Below are 15,607 nucleotides of genomic sequence, written 5' to 3' on the forward strand. Positions count from 1 at the left end.
GCTTCAACCAGTTGTGAGGGCCCAACCTCGGTCAGCCTGGCCAGTTTCTGCAGGCACTGCCACACAGCAGTTTTACTCCACCTGTCAGCTTTTTCTTTAAATAAACTTTAATAATGTTTGAGCCTCTTTTTGAAAGTGTGTTTGCATATCTTGCAAAGCAAAATTTTAATCAAGAGCAAAAAATTTTTTTTTACATCAGATGAGTAATGTGCTGACATAACAAGGTTTAGAAAAAGGAACATCTCGCACACAAGTGTGAATATCCAATCATCACGCTTAGGAACTGCAAAAGGATCAAGAGCAAACATTTTTTAAATGCTCACTGCAGTAGAGTAGTAAAAATACTAATATTGTTCTATTTAAGCTCAGAAATAGTTTCTAAGAATGCCAGTGTTGGAAGGACTTTAAGAGCTCATTTAATTTCCTCTATTAACAAATTTGCTTTCTAAATAAATAGATGATGAACCAGGCACTGTGCTTTATAAAGTAGCCAGGTTCATACATGTACACCCTAAAAATAATGCTCTGGGGAAGGCAATCTCAGTTTTAACAAGCTGGGAAAGGTAACGACAGCCTTAAAAAGTAATCTTTTCTACTATTCGAGAAAACCTAGTTGAGGATGTGCCTTTGGATGTTCACTTTGAAGCTTTTAATCAGATCCCACTTCCTCTGGTTCTGCTCAATGAGAACAGCTAATCCATTACACACACACACACACACACACACACACACACACACAACTTATTTATTCTTCACAGAGGGTTCACCTTTTTTCCACTCTGTTGACAACTTTCCTCCTTGATCCAATTTTATAAAATTAAAAAAAGAAAAAGGCAAAGCTTTTCATTGCCCTATCATAAAAAGACAGACTATAAGCAGTACCCTAGCTAGAGCAGAGGAAGGATGCTTAGAGCTCTTATTCATATATACACAATGGATCTATTTAAGGGTGATTTATTAAGGGTGATCTGCCTGAGACATCCATCACCTACTTACTACCAGGGTTAAGTACACCTTATTGGGCAAATAGTTTAGTTTTTCCTTTTTTGCTTACATATCCAGTATGTGTTCTTCCCCAAACTGTGGGTCATGGTAAGTTTTAGCCTAGTGCTTCTGATAAACCCTGTATGTTAGTTGTAAAAGAAATGATACTGTGACAGTTAATTTTAGGTGTCGACTTGACTGAATTAAAGAATACCTAGAGAACTGGCAAAGCATTATTTTTAGGTATATATTTAGATGAATGTGTTACCAGAGGATACTAGTGTGTGAGTCTGAGTGGACTAAGTGGTGCCCTCAGTTTAGGTGGGCACCATCCATTTGGCTGGGGCCCTGGATAGAATAAAACAGAGGAAGGAAAATTGGTCTCTCTCTCTCTCCTGGTGCTGGGATATACTTTTCTTCTCCTACCCTTGGTCTTTGGACTTGGACTGAGCTGTGCTGCTGGAATAACAGGGTCTCCAGCTTGCAGACACCCTGTCATGGGACTTCTCAGCCTCCATAATGACATGAGCCAATTCCCCTAATAAGTCCCCTCTCATATATCTTGAACTCCTGGCCTCAAGTGATCCTCCTGTCTGAGCCTCCCAAGTAGCTGGGATTACAGGCATGAGCCTGCACCTGGCCCCCTTTCATATACCTATATGTCTATATATCCCATTGGCTCTGTCTCTCTGGATAACCCTGACTAATATATACCCATTACCTAACATGTACTGAGCTCTCACCTTCTGCCAGATGCTGTGCTATTTTATATAAGATCTCACTGAATCTTCACAACCACCTATGTAACACATGGTGACTCACCTTTTAAATAAATAATAAATAAAACAGTTAAATGATCAGATGTGAGTGTCACCTCTTTTCTGAGCCTTTATCCCTTCCCGGAAGAGGTCCTAACATGTTTCAGAATGGACAGAAGAGAAGAGCGACAGAAAGGGGGTGGAAAGCAAGTCACATGAGAATGGACTGAACTAGTTCAGTAGCATTTATTTCCATTTGCAAGGAATCTGTATGAAAATCTGTTTCTTAAATGGTTCACACTGTTGATATTTCAATACAATAGATTTAATTTTACCTAAGTTGCTTCTTTCCTAAATGACTTTCAGCACTCATCTAAAGGATAGTAATAAATCTTTTAAAACAATACAGCGGACAATATTGAAAATTTAGGTTTCTCTTCCAACAAATATCAAATGCATGCCAATCAAACAATGCCAATAAATATCAAAGCAGTAGTACTCACCTCTTTCGCACTCTTAATTTTGGTCAGAAATGTATGGAGCTCCATTGTTTCTGCAAACAGTGCACGACATACTGCCTGATAATGATTTGGTGCATCTGATTCAGTAGGGAGATGAGCAGCACACAACTATAGAAGGGGAAAATAAAATAATGGTGCTTGGTTACTATTTGGGTTTTTTTTGTACTTAAAAACAGACACGAGCAGAGTGCAGTGGTTCACGCCTGTAATCCCAGCACTTTGGGAGGCCAACGCAGGCAGATCATGAGGTCGAGAGTTCAAGACCAGCCTGACCAACATGGTGAAACCCTGTCTCTACTAAAAATACAAAAATTAGTTGGGCGTGGTGGCACACACCTGTAATCCCAGCTACTCAGGAAGCTGAGGCAGGACAATCGCTTGAACCTGGGAGGCGGAGGTTGCAGTGAGTGGAGATCATGCCACTGTACTCTAGCATGGGTGACAGAGTGAGACTTCATCTAAAAATAACAATAAAAACCAAAAAAACAGACACACCCCCATATCTGTATTTTCATATCAGACAGCCAGGCAATTCCCATCATCCAGGGCTTAATGTACCACAAGACCATCAGTAAGGTCTACATAATTATACGGGAAAAGTGGTCCACTAACTAACAGAGACCCAACAGCACAGATGAGCTTACTAGAATTAGCTTCTATTTGAAAATGATAGGACATATGTAAAAGTTTTGGTTGGGAACAGAAAGAGAACCACCGTTTATTGTATACTGATGACGGATCCAGTTTTTTAACAGCTACCATTTATTAAGCAATTATCATGCCAGCTACAATATCTGACATGTCGTATATACAACATAATACCATTTACTCTTCAATGTACTGCTGAATTATCCTCATTTTAATGGAAAAAGAAACTGAGGCTAAGAGGAGTCACATGACTTGTCTGTCCATAGTCACATGGTTACCAAGAGGGAGAAGGAGAAGTCAAACACAGTCAGTCCTTACTGGGTTCTGAAGCCAGGCTCATTCCAATACATGTCGAATTTTGTAACGTAGTAAAAAAAAAAAAAAGAATGTCAGGAAAACATATGGACCTCAGGGAAGCTGCCTCATCAGTAGATGGGGAGTGGAGGAAAGAGGGCAGAGGGCAATGTAAGGCCACAGGTGCTGCCTACAGCCCTAATGTCCTTTACCATACATAGTCCATAATCCCCACCCAACTACTTGTGGGTAAAAGGTGCAACTTAGTATCATGCAAAGCAATTCAGAAAAATCAAACACCATTTAATTTATCAGATTGGAAAGACATCCTATTAAGAGTCCCATACACAGGAATAATTTTATCTTTCTATAAAATAATTTTGTATCCACGTACAATCATTACATTTTAAAGTACTTCATTTGCACTAACAAGCTGTAAGTTCTCTTAATTTCTTACTAGTCAGTAAACTTGACACTAATACAATAACTAAAAATACGCATCTTATTTTAATAATTTCTATCAATTAAAGAATAAATGACATCTTTGTAGTTTGTAATAGCCTTAATAATGTGGCTTTCTGTTTTCACGTATAGTAACCATCTTACACAATCTAATAGATCACTAGCTTTTACAAAATACATTCTCAAGAAAATATCTCTAGTTTGAATAGGAAACCTTCTTCACAGTAGCAAAAAAAGCTAAAAGCTGCTTTATCCAGAAGCATTAAAAGCAGAAATCTCACAAGTTTATTACTCACAGAGCCACTAGTAAACAGAGAGTATATTTTGTGCTCAATTATTTTTATATTTAGAAAACATCTTGCAATACCGAATTGTCATTCAAGGTAATGAAAGACAACAACTGAGGCTTTACCTTATGTAACTTAACCCTAATCTTACATTCCAGTCACATAAAGAAATGGCATAAAGCCACTGGGTTTCAAAGTTTTCAACTGCTATCCACAGTAAGAAATAAATTTATATATATTCACATATTATACACAAACACATGCATATGTGCCTATTATACATACAAAAGCTTCACAAAACAAAACTTGCACATTCAATTGAATTCACAACCCATTCACTGGTTGTAAACTGCAACTTTAAAAACACTGGTGTAAAGGTAATAGCTAGGTCTAAAAAATGTTTTTTTAAATGCATATGACAATCTTACACATAAAAAATCTAAAGGAATACTACTAGAGTTCATAAGCAATTTCAGCAGTTGCAGAATACATGATTAACAAACAAAATCAGTTGTATTTCTACACATGGCCAGAGAACAATTGGATAATGAGGTCAAGAAAATCACTCCATTTACAATTGCATCAAAAATGCTAAGAAATAAATTTAACCAAGGAGGTGTAAGACTTATACACTGAAGAGTACAAAATATTGTAAAAGAAATTAAAGAAGACCTAAATAAACAGAAAGACATCTTGTACTCATACATTGGAAGACAATATAGTTAAGGCAACAACATTACCCAAAGTGATGAACAGATTGAATGCAATCCCTAACAAAATCCCAACAGCCTTTCTTTAAGAAATAGAAAGACTGATCCTAAAATTCATATGGAATTGCAAGGGGCCCCTTGCAACAACCCAATTTAGAGATCAGGAAACTGAGATTTAGACCACGTAAGTAATTTGCCCAAGGATACACAGCTAGTCAATGGCATAAATGGAACCGAAACCAGGTAGTCTCTCTGGAGCCCAAGTTCTTTTCCATTCTACTCTAAAATAAATGTAATTCCCTTTATATTAAAGGGAATAATGTTCTTAAAGTACTTAAAGCATAGAGCATGGTATACAGTAAGCATGCAACAAAATCATTTTTATAGTTCCAAAAAAAGAGACATCAGGGGTTAGGGGGACAAAATTAGGTTATATGACCTTGGACAAGTTATTTAACATTGCTGGGTTTCCATTTATCTCTAAAAAGAGAGGACTGGTTTATGTAACCTCTTATATAAATCTGTCTCTCCTCTTTGCTCTACATATAAACTTCTAAATTAAACTGAAATACTGAGGTTTTTGAGGGAGCAGTCTTGGATCTTTGGGTATCCTCTGCTTACTGTAGCTGCCCTTGTCTAGTCTAATGGCTTTAAATGCCACCTATAGGCTGGTAACTCCTCAACCCCTATTCCAGGCCAGCCCTTTATGTTAACCACTTATGGCTATGTACTTAGCATTTCCACTCAGAAGTCACAAAGACAGCTCAAACAACTCTGAGAGTCATCCTTTTTTCCCCCCTTAATATAGGGTCTTGCTATGTTGCCCAAGCTGGTCTTGAACTCTTGGGCTCAGGCAATGATCCTGCCTCAGCCTCCTGAATAGCTGGGATTACAGGTGTGTGGCACCATGCCCAGCTGAGAGTCATCCTTGATTATTCTTTATTCCCATACCACTCATATCCAATCCATCAGTAAGTCTTGTTGTTTCTACCTTCAAAATATACCACCTGACAGTTCTCTACTTTTCTCCATCTCCTCCACCATCATCATGGTCACAGCTACCATTTTCTTTCATTAGAGGACTCCTAACTTCCTCTCTCACTAGTCTACATGGTTCTTCTTCACCTGACAGGCAAAATCTTTTATAAATATAATTTGGATTATGTTCATCCCCTGCTTAAAAGCATCCAATCATTCATTCAAACAATATTCACCAAATGCCAACTACGTACCAGGCACTGTGGCAGAAAGAAACACAGTATTTGATATGGTTTGGCTGTGTCCCCACCCAAATCTCATCTTGAATTCCCATGTGTTGTGGGAGGGACCTGGTGGGAGGTAACTGAATCATGGGGGCAGGTCTTCCCCTTGCTGTTCTCATGACAGTGAGTAAGTCTCATGAGATCTGATGGTTTTATAAGGAGGAGTTTCCCTGCACAAGCTCTTTTTTGGCCTGCTGCCAGCGATGTAAGACATGACTTGCTCCTCCTTGACTTCCGCCATGATTGTGAGGCCTCCTTAGCCACGTGGAACTGTGAGTCCATTAAACCTATTTTTCTTCCCAGTTTTAGGTTATGTCTTTATCAGCAGTATGAAAAAGGACTAATACAGTATTGAACAAGTCAACATCCCGTTCCTCTCAAAAATAGTAATGGGTATCTCAGACCCTTAAACATACACATACACACACACGCACACACACACACACACACACACACACGTTGGGAATAACAGCTACTATTAAGAAAAATAGGCCAAGTGTGGTGGCTCACACCTGTAATCTCAGCACTTTGGGAGGCTGAGGTGGATCACCTGAGGTCAGGAGTTTGAGACCAGCCTGACCAACATAGTGAAACCCCGTCTCTACTAAAAATACAAAAATTAGCTGGACATGGTGGCGAGTGCACCAAGTGCCTCAGCTACTTGGGAGGCTGAGGCAGGAGAATTGCTTGAACCCGGGAGGTGGAGGCTGCAGTGAGCCGAGATCACGCCACTGCACTCCAGCCTGGGCAACAGAGAGAGACTCTGTCTTAAAAAAAAAAAAAAAAGAAAAGAAAGAAAAAGAAAAAGAAAGCAGATGAGAGGTAGAAAATGAGGCCAGTGGTGGGGAGGGGCAATAATGTGGAAAGAGTGGTCAGTAGGTGGCACCAGAGCAGAGAGATCAATGAAGATTGGAGTGAGCCATGCACAGACCTAAGGAAAGAGTGTCCCAGGCATGGGAGGGCCAGTGGCTCCCACTGAACTTAAAACCCAAACTCTTCAGTGTTCCTCAAGTCCTTCGTCATCTAGCTCACACCTACCTCTCAAATCCCATTTGTGGCTTTTCCTTCCACTTTGTTTTGGTAATCCTAGACTTGTTTCTTTAAAACACACCAATCTTTTTGCTGATTCCTCACTCCTCCAGGTGTTGATTTCAATGTCACCTGCTCAGAACGTCTTCCCTGTTTGTCCTTTCTAGATGAACTACCCCCCTCTAATTTCTCTGTTACTTTTTTTTTGAAATGGGGTTTCACTCTTGTTGCCCAGACTGGAGCGAAGTGTTGCGATCTTGGCTCACTGCAACCTCCGCCTCCCAGGTTCAAGCGATTCTCCTGCCTCAGCCTCCCAAGTAGCTGGGATTACAGGCTTGCACCACTATGCCCGGCTATTTTTTGTATTTTTAGTAGAGACGGAGTTTCACCATGTTGACCAGGCTGGTCTCAAACTCCTGATCTCAGGTGATCTGTCCACCTCGGCCTCTCAAAATGCTGGGATTACAGGCGTGAGCCACTGCACCTGGCCTCTCTGTTACTTTTTAATCACTGCATTCTGCATTTTCTTCTTAGCAATTGTTAGGATTTAAATTACAGTAGTTCCTCCTTATCCACAGTTTCACTTTCCATGGCTTCAGTTATCTATGGTCAACTGCATCCAAAGATATTAAATGGAAAATTCCAGAAATAAATAAATCCTAAGCTTTAAATTATATGCTGTGCTGAGTTGCATGGTGAAATCTCACACCATCCTGCACTGTCCTGCCTGGGGTGTGAATCACCCCTTTGTGCAGCATATTTGCTCTCAGCCTCAAGCGATCTACCTGCCTTGGCCTCCCAAAGTGCTGGGATTATAGGTGTGAGCCACCAAGCCTGGTCTGCATACCACAAACTTTGATAGGTCACGCATTTGTTATTATTCAGTTTATTTCCACTGTGATTTCTTCTTTGACTCTTGGGGCATTTAAAAGTAGTTTCTTAATTTCCAAGTATATGTGGAAATAATAAAATCTTTTTGTTATTCATATCTGGCTTAATTCCACCATGGTAACAGAACATTTCCTATGTAATTATAACCCTTTGAAATTTGTTAAGACTTGCTTTAAGGCCTGGAATACGGAGAAATTTTTAATTGTTCCATGTATACCTGAAAAGAATGTGTACTCTGCAGTGGGTGGGTGGCATGTCCTATTAAGTCAGGTTTGTTATTCTCATTATCCAAATATTCTATATTTGTACTGATACTAAGAGAGGTATTTTAAACCTCCCTCTATGGTTGTACATTTGTCTACTTCCCCTTTTAGTTGTATTTGTTTGAATGTTGTTCAATGCTACTGTTACAGGCTATGTTACTAGGTGCACATAAATTTATGAATGCTATTTCTCCTTAGTAAATTGAACTTTTTATCAGTAAGCATCCTTTTTTATCTCTAGTAATGCTTTTTGCCTTTAGGTCCATTTTATATTAAAATAATGTCTGTGATACTTTTCTTTTGGTTAGAATGTTATATTTTTCCATTCTTTTACTCAAGCTTTCTATGTCCTATTTATAGTGTCTACTCAGTAAACAATGTATGATTGGATTTTGTATTTTTAATGCAGTCTAAAAATCTGTGTCTTTTAAAAATTAGAGTATTTTAGGCTAGTACAATCCACAGAAATACAGTGTGAGCCATGTATGTAGTTTTAAATTTTCTAGTAGCCACATCAAAAAAAAATAAAAAGAAACAAGTGAAATTAACTTTGATAATATATTTTAGTTAACCCAATACAATAATATATATTATTGTAATACTTCAAATTATAGCCAATACAAAAATTATTAATGAGGCTTTTTTTTTTTCTTTTGAGATGGAGTCTCGCTCTGCTGCCCAGGCTGGAGTGCACTGGCATGATCTCGGCTCACTGCAACCTCTGCTTCCCGGGTTCAAGTGATTCTCCTGCCCCAGCCTCCCGAGTAGCTGGGATTACAGGCATGCAGCACCATGCCTGGCTAACTTTTTTGTCTTTTTAGTAGAGACGGGGTTTCACCATGGTAGTCAGGTCTCGAACTCCTGACCTCAAATGATCTGCCCACCTCAGCCTCCCAAAGTGCTGGGATTACAGGCATGAGCCACCGCACGCAGCCAACAAGGCATTTTACATTCTTTTTTTGGTACTAAGTGTTTGGAATCCAGTATAGATTTTGTACTTTCAGTCCACGTCAATTTAGACTAACCACATTTCAAGTGATTAATAGTCACATGTGGCTAGTAACTACTGTATTGAGCAGTATAAATTTAGACCATTTACATTTAATGTAATTACCAATATATTTCAGTATCAAATTACCATCTTCTATTTGTTTTCCCATCTGTTCTATATTCCTTTTCAATTCTTTCCATCTCTTCTTTTGGATTACCAGTAATTTTCTTAGCTCCACCTGCCCCCTTCCCTATTGGCCTGATATTTACAAATTCTTTTATTTATTTTTAGTGGCTTTTCTAATAAAGGTTAGGCTTTAGTGGCTTTCCTAATAAAGGTTAGCACTAATAAATTAGTGCTTTAACCTCTTCCCAATGCCAAGGTCTTAGAACACTAACTCCACGCTACTGTTATACATTTTAATTCTAAATATATTCTAAATCATGTAAGACATTATTATTTTTTGCTGTTAATATTCATTTAGATTTATTTTCATGTTTATTTTTCTTTTTTTGAGGTGGAGTCTTGCTCCATCGCCCAGGCTGGAGTGCAGGGGCACAATCTTGGCTTACTGCAACCTCCGCCTCCCAGGTTCAAGCCATTCTCCTGCCTTAGCCTCACAAGTAGCTGGGATTTCAGGCATGCACCACCATGCCCAGCTAATTTTTTGTATTTTTAGTAGAGATGGGGTTTCACTATGTTGGCCAGGCTGGTCGTGAACTCCTGACCTCAAATGATCCGCCCGTCTCGGCCTCCCAAAGTGCTGGGATTACAGGCGTGAGCCACCATGTCTGGCCCATGTTTATTTTTCTTTGCTCTTCAAATATTCTGCATCTCCTAGTTTCTACCAGACATGGACTGCCTTCTGCCTGATGTATACTCTTTGGTATTGCCTTTAGTCAAGGTCTGCTGGTGACAAATTTTCTGTGTTTGTCAGATAAGATATTTTACCTTTTCTTAAAGAAACAAAACAAAAAAAGATCTCACTGTGTCACCCAGGCTTGAGTGCAACGGCACCATTACTGCCCACTGCAGCCTCAACCTCCTGGGCTCAAGTGATCCACCATGCCTAGCTGATATTTTACCTTTATTGTTGAGACATTATACTGGATAAATAATTCTAGATTTAATGTTAGAACTTTGAAGATAGCATTCCACTCTGTCTTCTAACATTACTCTCCCCCTGACTTACTTTGTGAAACGGGTATTGGAATGCCTGCCCAATCTACCTCACAGTGTTACCCTAAGGCTCCAGTAATAGAAGGGGGATATAAAGGCACTTTTCAACTACAATGTACCATATTAAAACATAACAAATTATTAGATTACTTGAAATAAAAGACTATCCGGGACAAAAGTTACACATTAAAGAGCGTCTTGCTTGCTAAGAATTGAAAACAAATTGTTTCAAGTTCTTAAACATCCTATTATTTGTATTAATTAAACTTAGTTTCACATTTCTACTTCAAACAAGGAGAAAGCAGTTACAATTCTTCAGATAATTCTTGTCTTCTCTTCCAACAAAGTAAACAATGAGTCAATTTATGAATTGAGGTTTTTAACCTGCTAACCAAACCACAAACTCATATCTGCACTACACGATGAGGAATCATGGGTTTTATAATACTTTAAAATTTCCGTTTACTTGTAAAATGTTTCAGCAATTATTTTTCTTCTCATTCAGCTACATGGAACATTCAGAACAGTCACAGATGTGGAGAATTTTATGGGTCAGTTTTGATTAGCATGGAAACCAAGAAACAACAGGTGAGGTTGTGATATTCTCCAATAAAATTTCTAATAGAATTGGTAGTCTTCAGTTTTCCTTCAATCTATAAAACCTTAAAAAAATTTTTTTTCTTTCTTTCTTTTTTTTTTTCTTTTTTTGAGACAGAGTCTCACTCTGTCACCCAGGCTGGAGTGCAGTGGTGTGCTCTCAGCTCAATGCAACCTCCACCTCCTAGGTTCAAGAGATTCTCATGCCTCAGCCTCCTGACTAGCTGGGACTACAGGTATGTGCCACCACACCTGATTAATTTTGTATTTTTTTTTTTAGTAGAAACAGGGTTTCCCCATGTTGGCCAGCTAGTCTTGAACTCTTGGCCTCAAGTGATCCACCTGCCTCGGCCTCCCAAAATGCTGGGATTACAGGCATCAGCTATCGCGCCCAGTCGTTTTTTTTTTTTTCCTTTTAAATAGAGACGAGGTCTCACTATGTTGCCCAGGCTGGTCTCAAACTCCTGAGCTCAAGTGATCCTCCCACCTGGGTCTCCCAAAGTGGTGGGATTACAGGTGTGAGCCACCATGCCCAGCCAAAAACCTGTCCTCGTAAGCACCCTTTTAACTATTCATTTTTCATATAATGATAGCAATAAGTTAGGGAACCACAGTAGCTCAAATTAAAAAATAAAAGGTATCCATTCAAACTTCTAAATGTCCAATAATTTTTTTATAAGTTAAGATATTTAATGTCATTGAATAAGAATTTTAAAATTCCAATTACTCTCTGGATCTCATCTTCCAAACCTGTAGTTTAAGACAGCAATCTGGCTATGACATGTTACATTACTGGTGCCAGGGTTGATTTTATGGATCTAGTTGGTTAGGTGGGTGTTCCTTTCCTCTTTCACCACTCCTTATGTATACTTCCCCCAACACACACACCACCAAAATACTGTTAGCTCACTTTCAGATGTATGAGTGGTTTTGCTACTTAATGTAAAATGTTTTACTCTTCATTTTTTCAATCACTATTTATCAATGGTCTTCCACAGAACAAGCTGGTCATTTGTGGTCTGCAGAAAGTTTAATTGGCCTTTAAGTGTGTTTACATGTTTTTAAAAAATAAACCTTAACATCTAGAAAACATAACATAAATAAAACACATCAAATTTCTATTTGTTTGTGTATTTATATATATGTATTTTATGTGTAGAGCCTGCTGATTTAAAATGAGAAGCACTACACATCTTAAAAGAACTAAAGAATATATCTGAATTTCATAAGAATAATAACTTGTATAGTTCTTTCCAGAGTCCTTGAGAGTTGTACCATCTAAGGAGGCCTAAGGAACAGGGGCACTCAGCACACCTGAAAACTACCACTGTCACAGTGCTTCTATATTCCTGTCTCTGAAACACCTTTATGAAAAGTTGGAAAATAAGAGATACACCATTGACACTGCTTATAAAACCTAGTAAATATCATATATAAATAACTGAAAACAGAATGCTTTTATGGCTAATTTGACAGATCTGTTTGATGTTAATCTCTGTACATTTGGCATGGTAGAAATTATGACCTTCAAGTACATAGCAAAATTTAAAAGAGAAAAATTCAGTATAACCAACCAAACTTGCTTCATTACATATAAATACCACTAAGTAGGTCAAGAAAACCTAAAACAATCAGCTGTGACACTTGAGATGCAAAATCTTCATGTAAGTAAGTGGATCACAGTTGTTTTTTACTCTAGAAAAAGGAAATACAGAGGTCAACTGAAGATATAATGCCCAGTCAAGCTGATACATGACATGTAATGATAAGGGGTATATAATATCTAAAAGCGGTTTCTTGAGTTATGATTCAATCATAAATGTCCATGTTCAGGCTGCTGACAAATCTGGGAACTATTATTAAATGCCGAATCACCGTTCTTTATTATTATTATTATTATTGAGACGGAGTCTCGCTCTGTCACCCAGGCTGAAGTGCAGTGGCGTGATCTCAGCTCACTGCAAGCTCTGCCTCCCAGGTTCACGCCATTCTCCTGCCTCAGCCTCCCAAGTAGCTGGGACTACAGGTGCCCGCCACCACGCCCAGCTAATTTTTTGTATTTTTAGTAGAGACAGGGTTTGACCGTGTTAGCCAGGACGTTCTTGATCTCCTGACCTCGTGATCCGCCTGCCTCGGCCTCCCAAAGTGCTGGGATTACAGCCGTGAGCCATCGCGCCCAGCCTCGTTATTATTTTTAAATAAATGTAGATATGTGTCAACCATTCAATTTTTTAAAAAATAACAGCTTGGACACAGTGGCTCATTTCTGTAATCCCAGCACTCTGGGAGGCCAAGGCAGGAGAATCACTTGAGCCCAGGGGTTCAAAACCAGCCTGAGCAACATAGCAAGACCTCATCTCTGCAAAAAATTTAAAAATTAGCCAGGTGTGGTGGCATACACCTGTAGTCCCAGCTACTCATGAGGCAGAGGCTACAGTGAGCCATGATCACACCACTGCACTCTAGCCTGGGCGACAGAGTGAGACCATCTCTCCAGGGGGGGAAAAAAAAGAAGAAGAAATAACAACTCTTGAAAAAAACAAGTACTGCATAAAACGCTGCCTTACCTTCATGACATCTCTATATGACCGAATAGCTGAGATTTTTCTCTTTTCATCTTCATCTCCCAGGCCTTCTTCTGCAGCCTCATAGCCCTCATCATTGCTACCGTCAGCTTCCACCGTGTTGGCCATGTGATCGATAAGCTGCTCTAGGGGAGGGCTTAATTCCCTTTCTTCATTCTCCTTCAAACCATAGTCCAGTGCTTTATAAATAATAATTCCCAAAGATTCAATGACCTAGGAACATTTAAAAAAGTGGTTAATGGAGATGAATGAAGAGCTTTCTAGGACTAATTGTGAGGCATAAGATGTTTAGTATGATTTTTTCCCTCAAACCAACATACAACACATACACAAACCCTTTTTATATTCTCTTAGATTTATACTTTGTGTTAAAATTTGTATTTGCCATTCATATATAAAATATTAACCGAGTTGATTTTCCACATTTCCCAAAGGTATTTCTGAGAACAGATATAGTTATCAAAGAATATATCCTCTCAGAACTCTTATGCCAATGTTTATCTAATTAGAGATGCACAGACATCCCAAGTATCTGAAAGACTGAAAACTCACTTACGGGTAGCAATTAACTCAAGCCTAAACAACAACAAAAATCTATTCATATCCATGTATACACACTTCTCTAGTTCCATTCAATCACTGAAAACACATCTCTCTCAGACGATGCAAACAAATGAGAGACCTTTTGCAAACCCTGAATTTTCAAGGCAGCTCACAGATAACCCTCCCTACCACACACCTCCATCAATATTACTGCCGGGCAAATGAACCTCATTTATGAACAGTAGATACACCACTGTTGCATACCACCTCGACAACTGCTCCAGACTTTGGCCAATACAGGAAATCCCACTTTATTTCTCAATAGTGCCTTTCTGCTATATATTTAAAAAAGCACATATAAAACCTTTTAATTTTATTGTTCTCTCTCTCTCTGTGTCTCTCTCTCTCTCTCTAAAGAACACTGGCAGCCAGCGTGGTGGCTCATGCCTGTAATCCCAGCACTTTGGGAGGCTGAGGCGAGCAGATCACTTGAGGTCAGGAGTTCGAGATCAGCCTGGCCAACATGGCGAAACCCTGTCTCTACTAAAATTACAAAAATGAGCTGGGCGTGGTGGCGTGTGCCGGTAATCCCAGTTTCTTGGAAGGCTGAGGCAGGAGAATCGCTTGAACTGGGGAAGCGGAGCTGACATTGCGCCACTGCACTTCAGCAAAACTCTATCTCATAAAAACAAACAAACAAACAACAACAACAACAACAAACAGGCAATGAAGCCAAAGAATTAAAATTAAATCCTGACTTTTACCACTAGCCAGCTGCCTCAGGACAAATCATTTTAGTGATGACTTTTCTCATCCGTTAAATGGGGATGTCAATGATACCTCCATTTAATAAGATTCTGTTGAGACTATGCATTCACTATGCATGGAAGTACCTGGTACAATATCTGACTTATTACAGGGACTCAATAATGATCTCACTGCTCTCTCCTTCCTTTAGCCCATTCTTTTCCAATGTTTATCAGTTACTCCCAAAATAAATAAAATCTTTCATTTTCAGTATTTCATTTATAGCTGGTAATACCGCATTTTTAAAAAAGTGCATCACAAATAAAAAAGAAAGTCAGAAGTTTCTAACATGAGTTAAATACAAGAGAGTCATTGACTAGCTCTTAAAAGCCTCACTCAAAATTCTCTACAAAAATTCAAAAATTCTCTACAAAATCTGAAATCTACTTTACCAATGAAATAATATTTTCTCAACACTAGCATTCAAAATGAATATCATGCTTAAAAATTCTTAACTTCTAAGTTTTTAAACAATACTGTTTTAAAATATTTTTTACTGAAAACATGTAATATTTTCACTGGATTTACAGTCTGACCTGGCACTGTAGCCATTCTTTTCTTTCTTTTTTTTTTTTTTCTTCTTCTTTTGAGACAAGGTCTCACTCTGTCACCCGGGCTGGAGTGCAGTGGTACAATTACGGCTCACTGCAGCTTCAACCTCCTTGGGCTGAGATGATCCTCCCACCTTAGCCTCCCTAGTAGCTGGGAAAACAGGTACACACCACCAGGCCTGGCTAATTTTTTTTGGAATTTTTTAGAAACGGGGTTTCACCATGTTGTCCAAGCTGGACTCAAA

General features: G+C 38.8%; 1 protein-coding gene and 1 non-coding gene across 15 annotated transcripts in view, besides 1 other annotated feature; both read right to left on the reverse strand.

Annotated features, from left to right (window-relative positions):
• The window catches only part of SPIRE1 (spire type actin nucleation factor 1), a 215,580-nt gene that overhangs the window by 86,719 nt on the left and 113,254 nt on the right, over nucleotides 1-15,607 (reverse strand). For 13 of the 14 annotated variants that reach the window (NR_197429.1, NM_001394323.1, NM_020148.3 and 10 more), the window contains 2 exons: nucleotides 13,444-13,674; nucleotides 2,246-2,371 (listed from right to left, as the gene is read on the reverse strand). Coding sequence is in view for 13 of the 14 variants with exons in the window: in NM_001394323.1 (NP_001381252.1) it covers nucleotides 2,246-2,371; nucleotides 13,444-13,674 (357 nt within the window). In the remaining variant the exon portion in view is untranslated. The remainder of the gene's footprint in view (nucleotides 1-2,245; nucleotides 2,372-13,443; nucleotides 13,675-15,607) is intronic. The other variant, NM_001394324.1, reaches the window with a different exon arrangement.
• LOC124904371 (small nucleolar RNA U13) lies at nucleotides 194-295 on the reverse strand. The gene has a single exon (XR_007066489.1). It is a non-coding gene; the product is annotated as a small nucleolar RNA U13 (small nucleolar RNA).
• Nucleotides 6,729-6,908: a silencer, noted in NCBI's record as "silent region_9314". NCBI's record gives its function as "represses an Ori minimal core promoter by ATAC-STARR-seq in GM12878 lymphoblastoid cells {active_cell/tissue: GM12878}" and the evidence as "EXISTENCE:reporter gene assay evidence [ECO:0000049][PMID:35858748]".

The sequence above is a fragment of the Homo sapiens genome, chromosome 18 (genome assembly GCF_000001405.40).
Source record: "Homo sapiens chromosome 18, GRCh38.p14 Primary Assembly".
Lineage (NCBI taxonomy): Eukaryota > Metazoa > Chordata > Mammalia > Primates > Hominidae > Homo > Homo sapiens.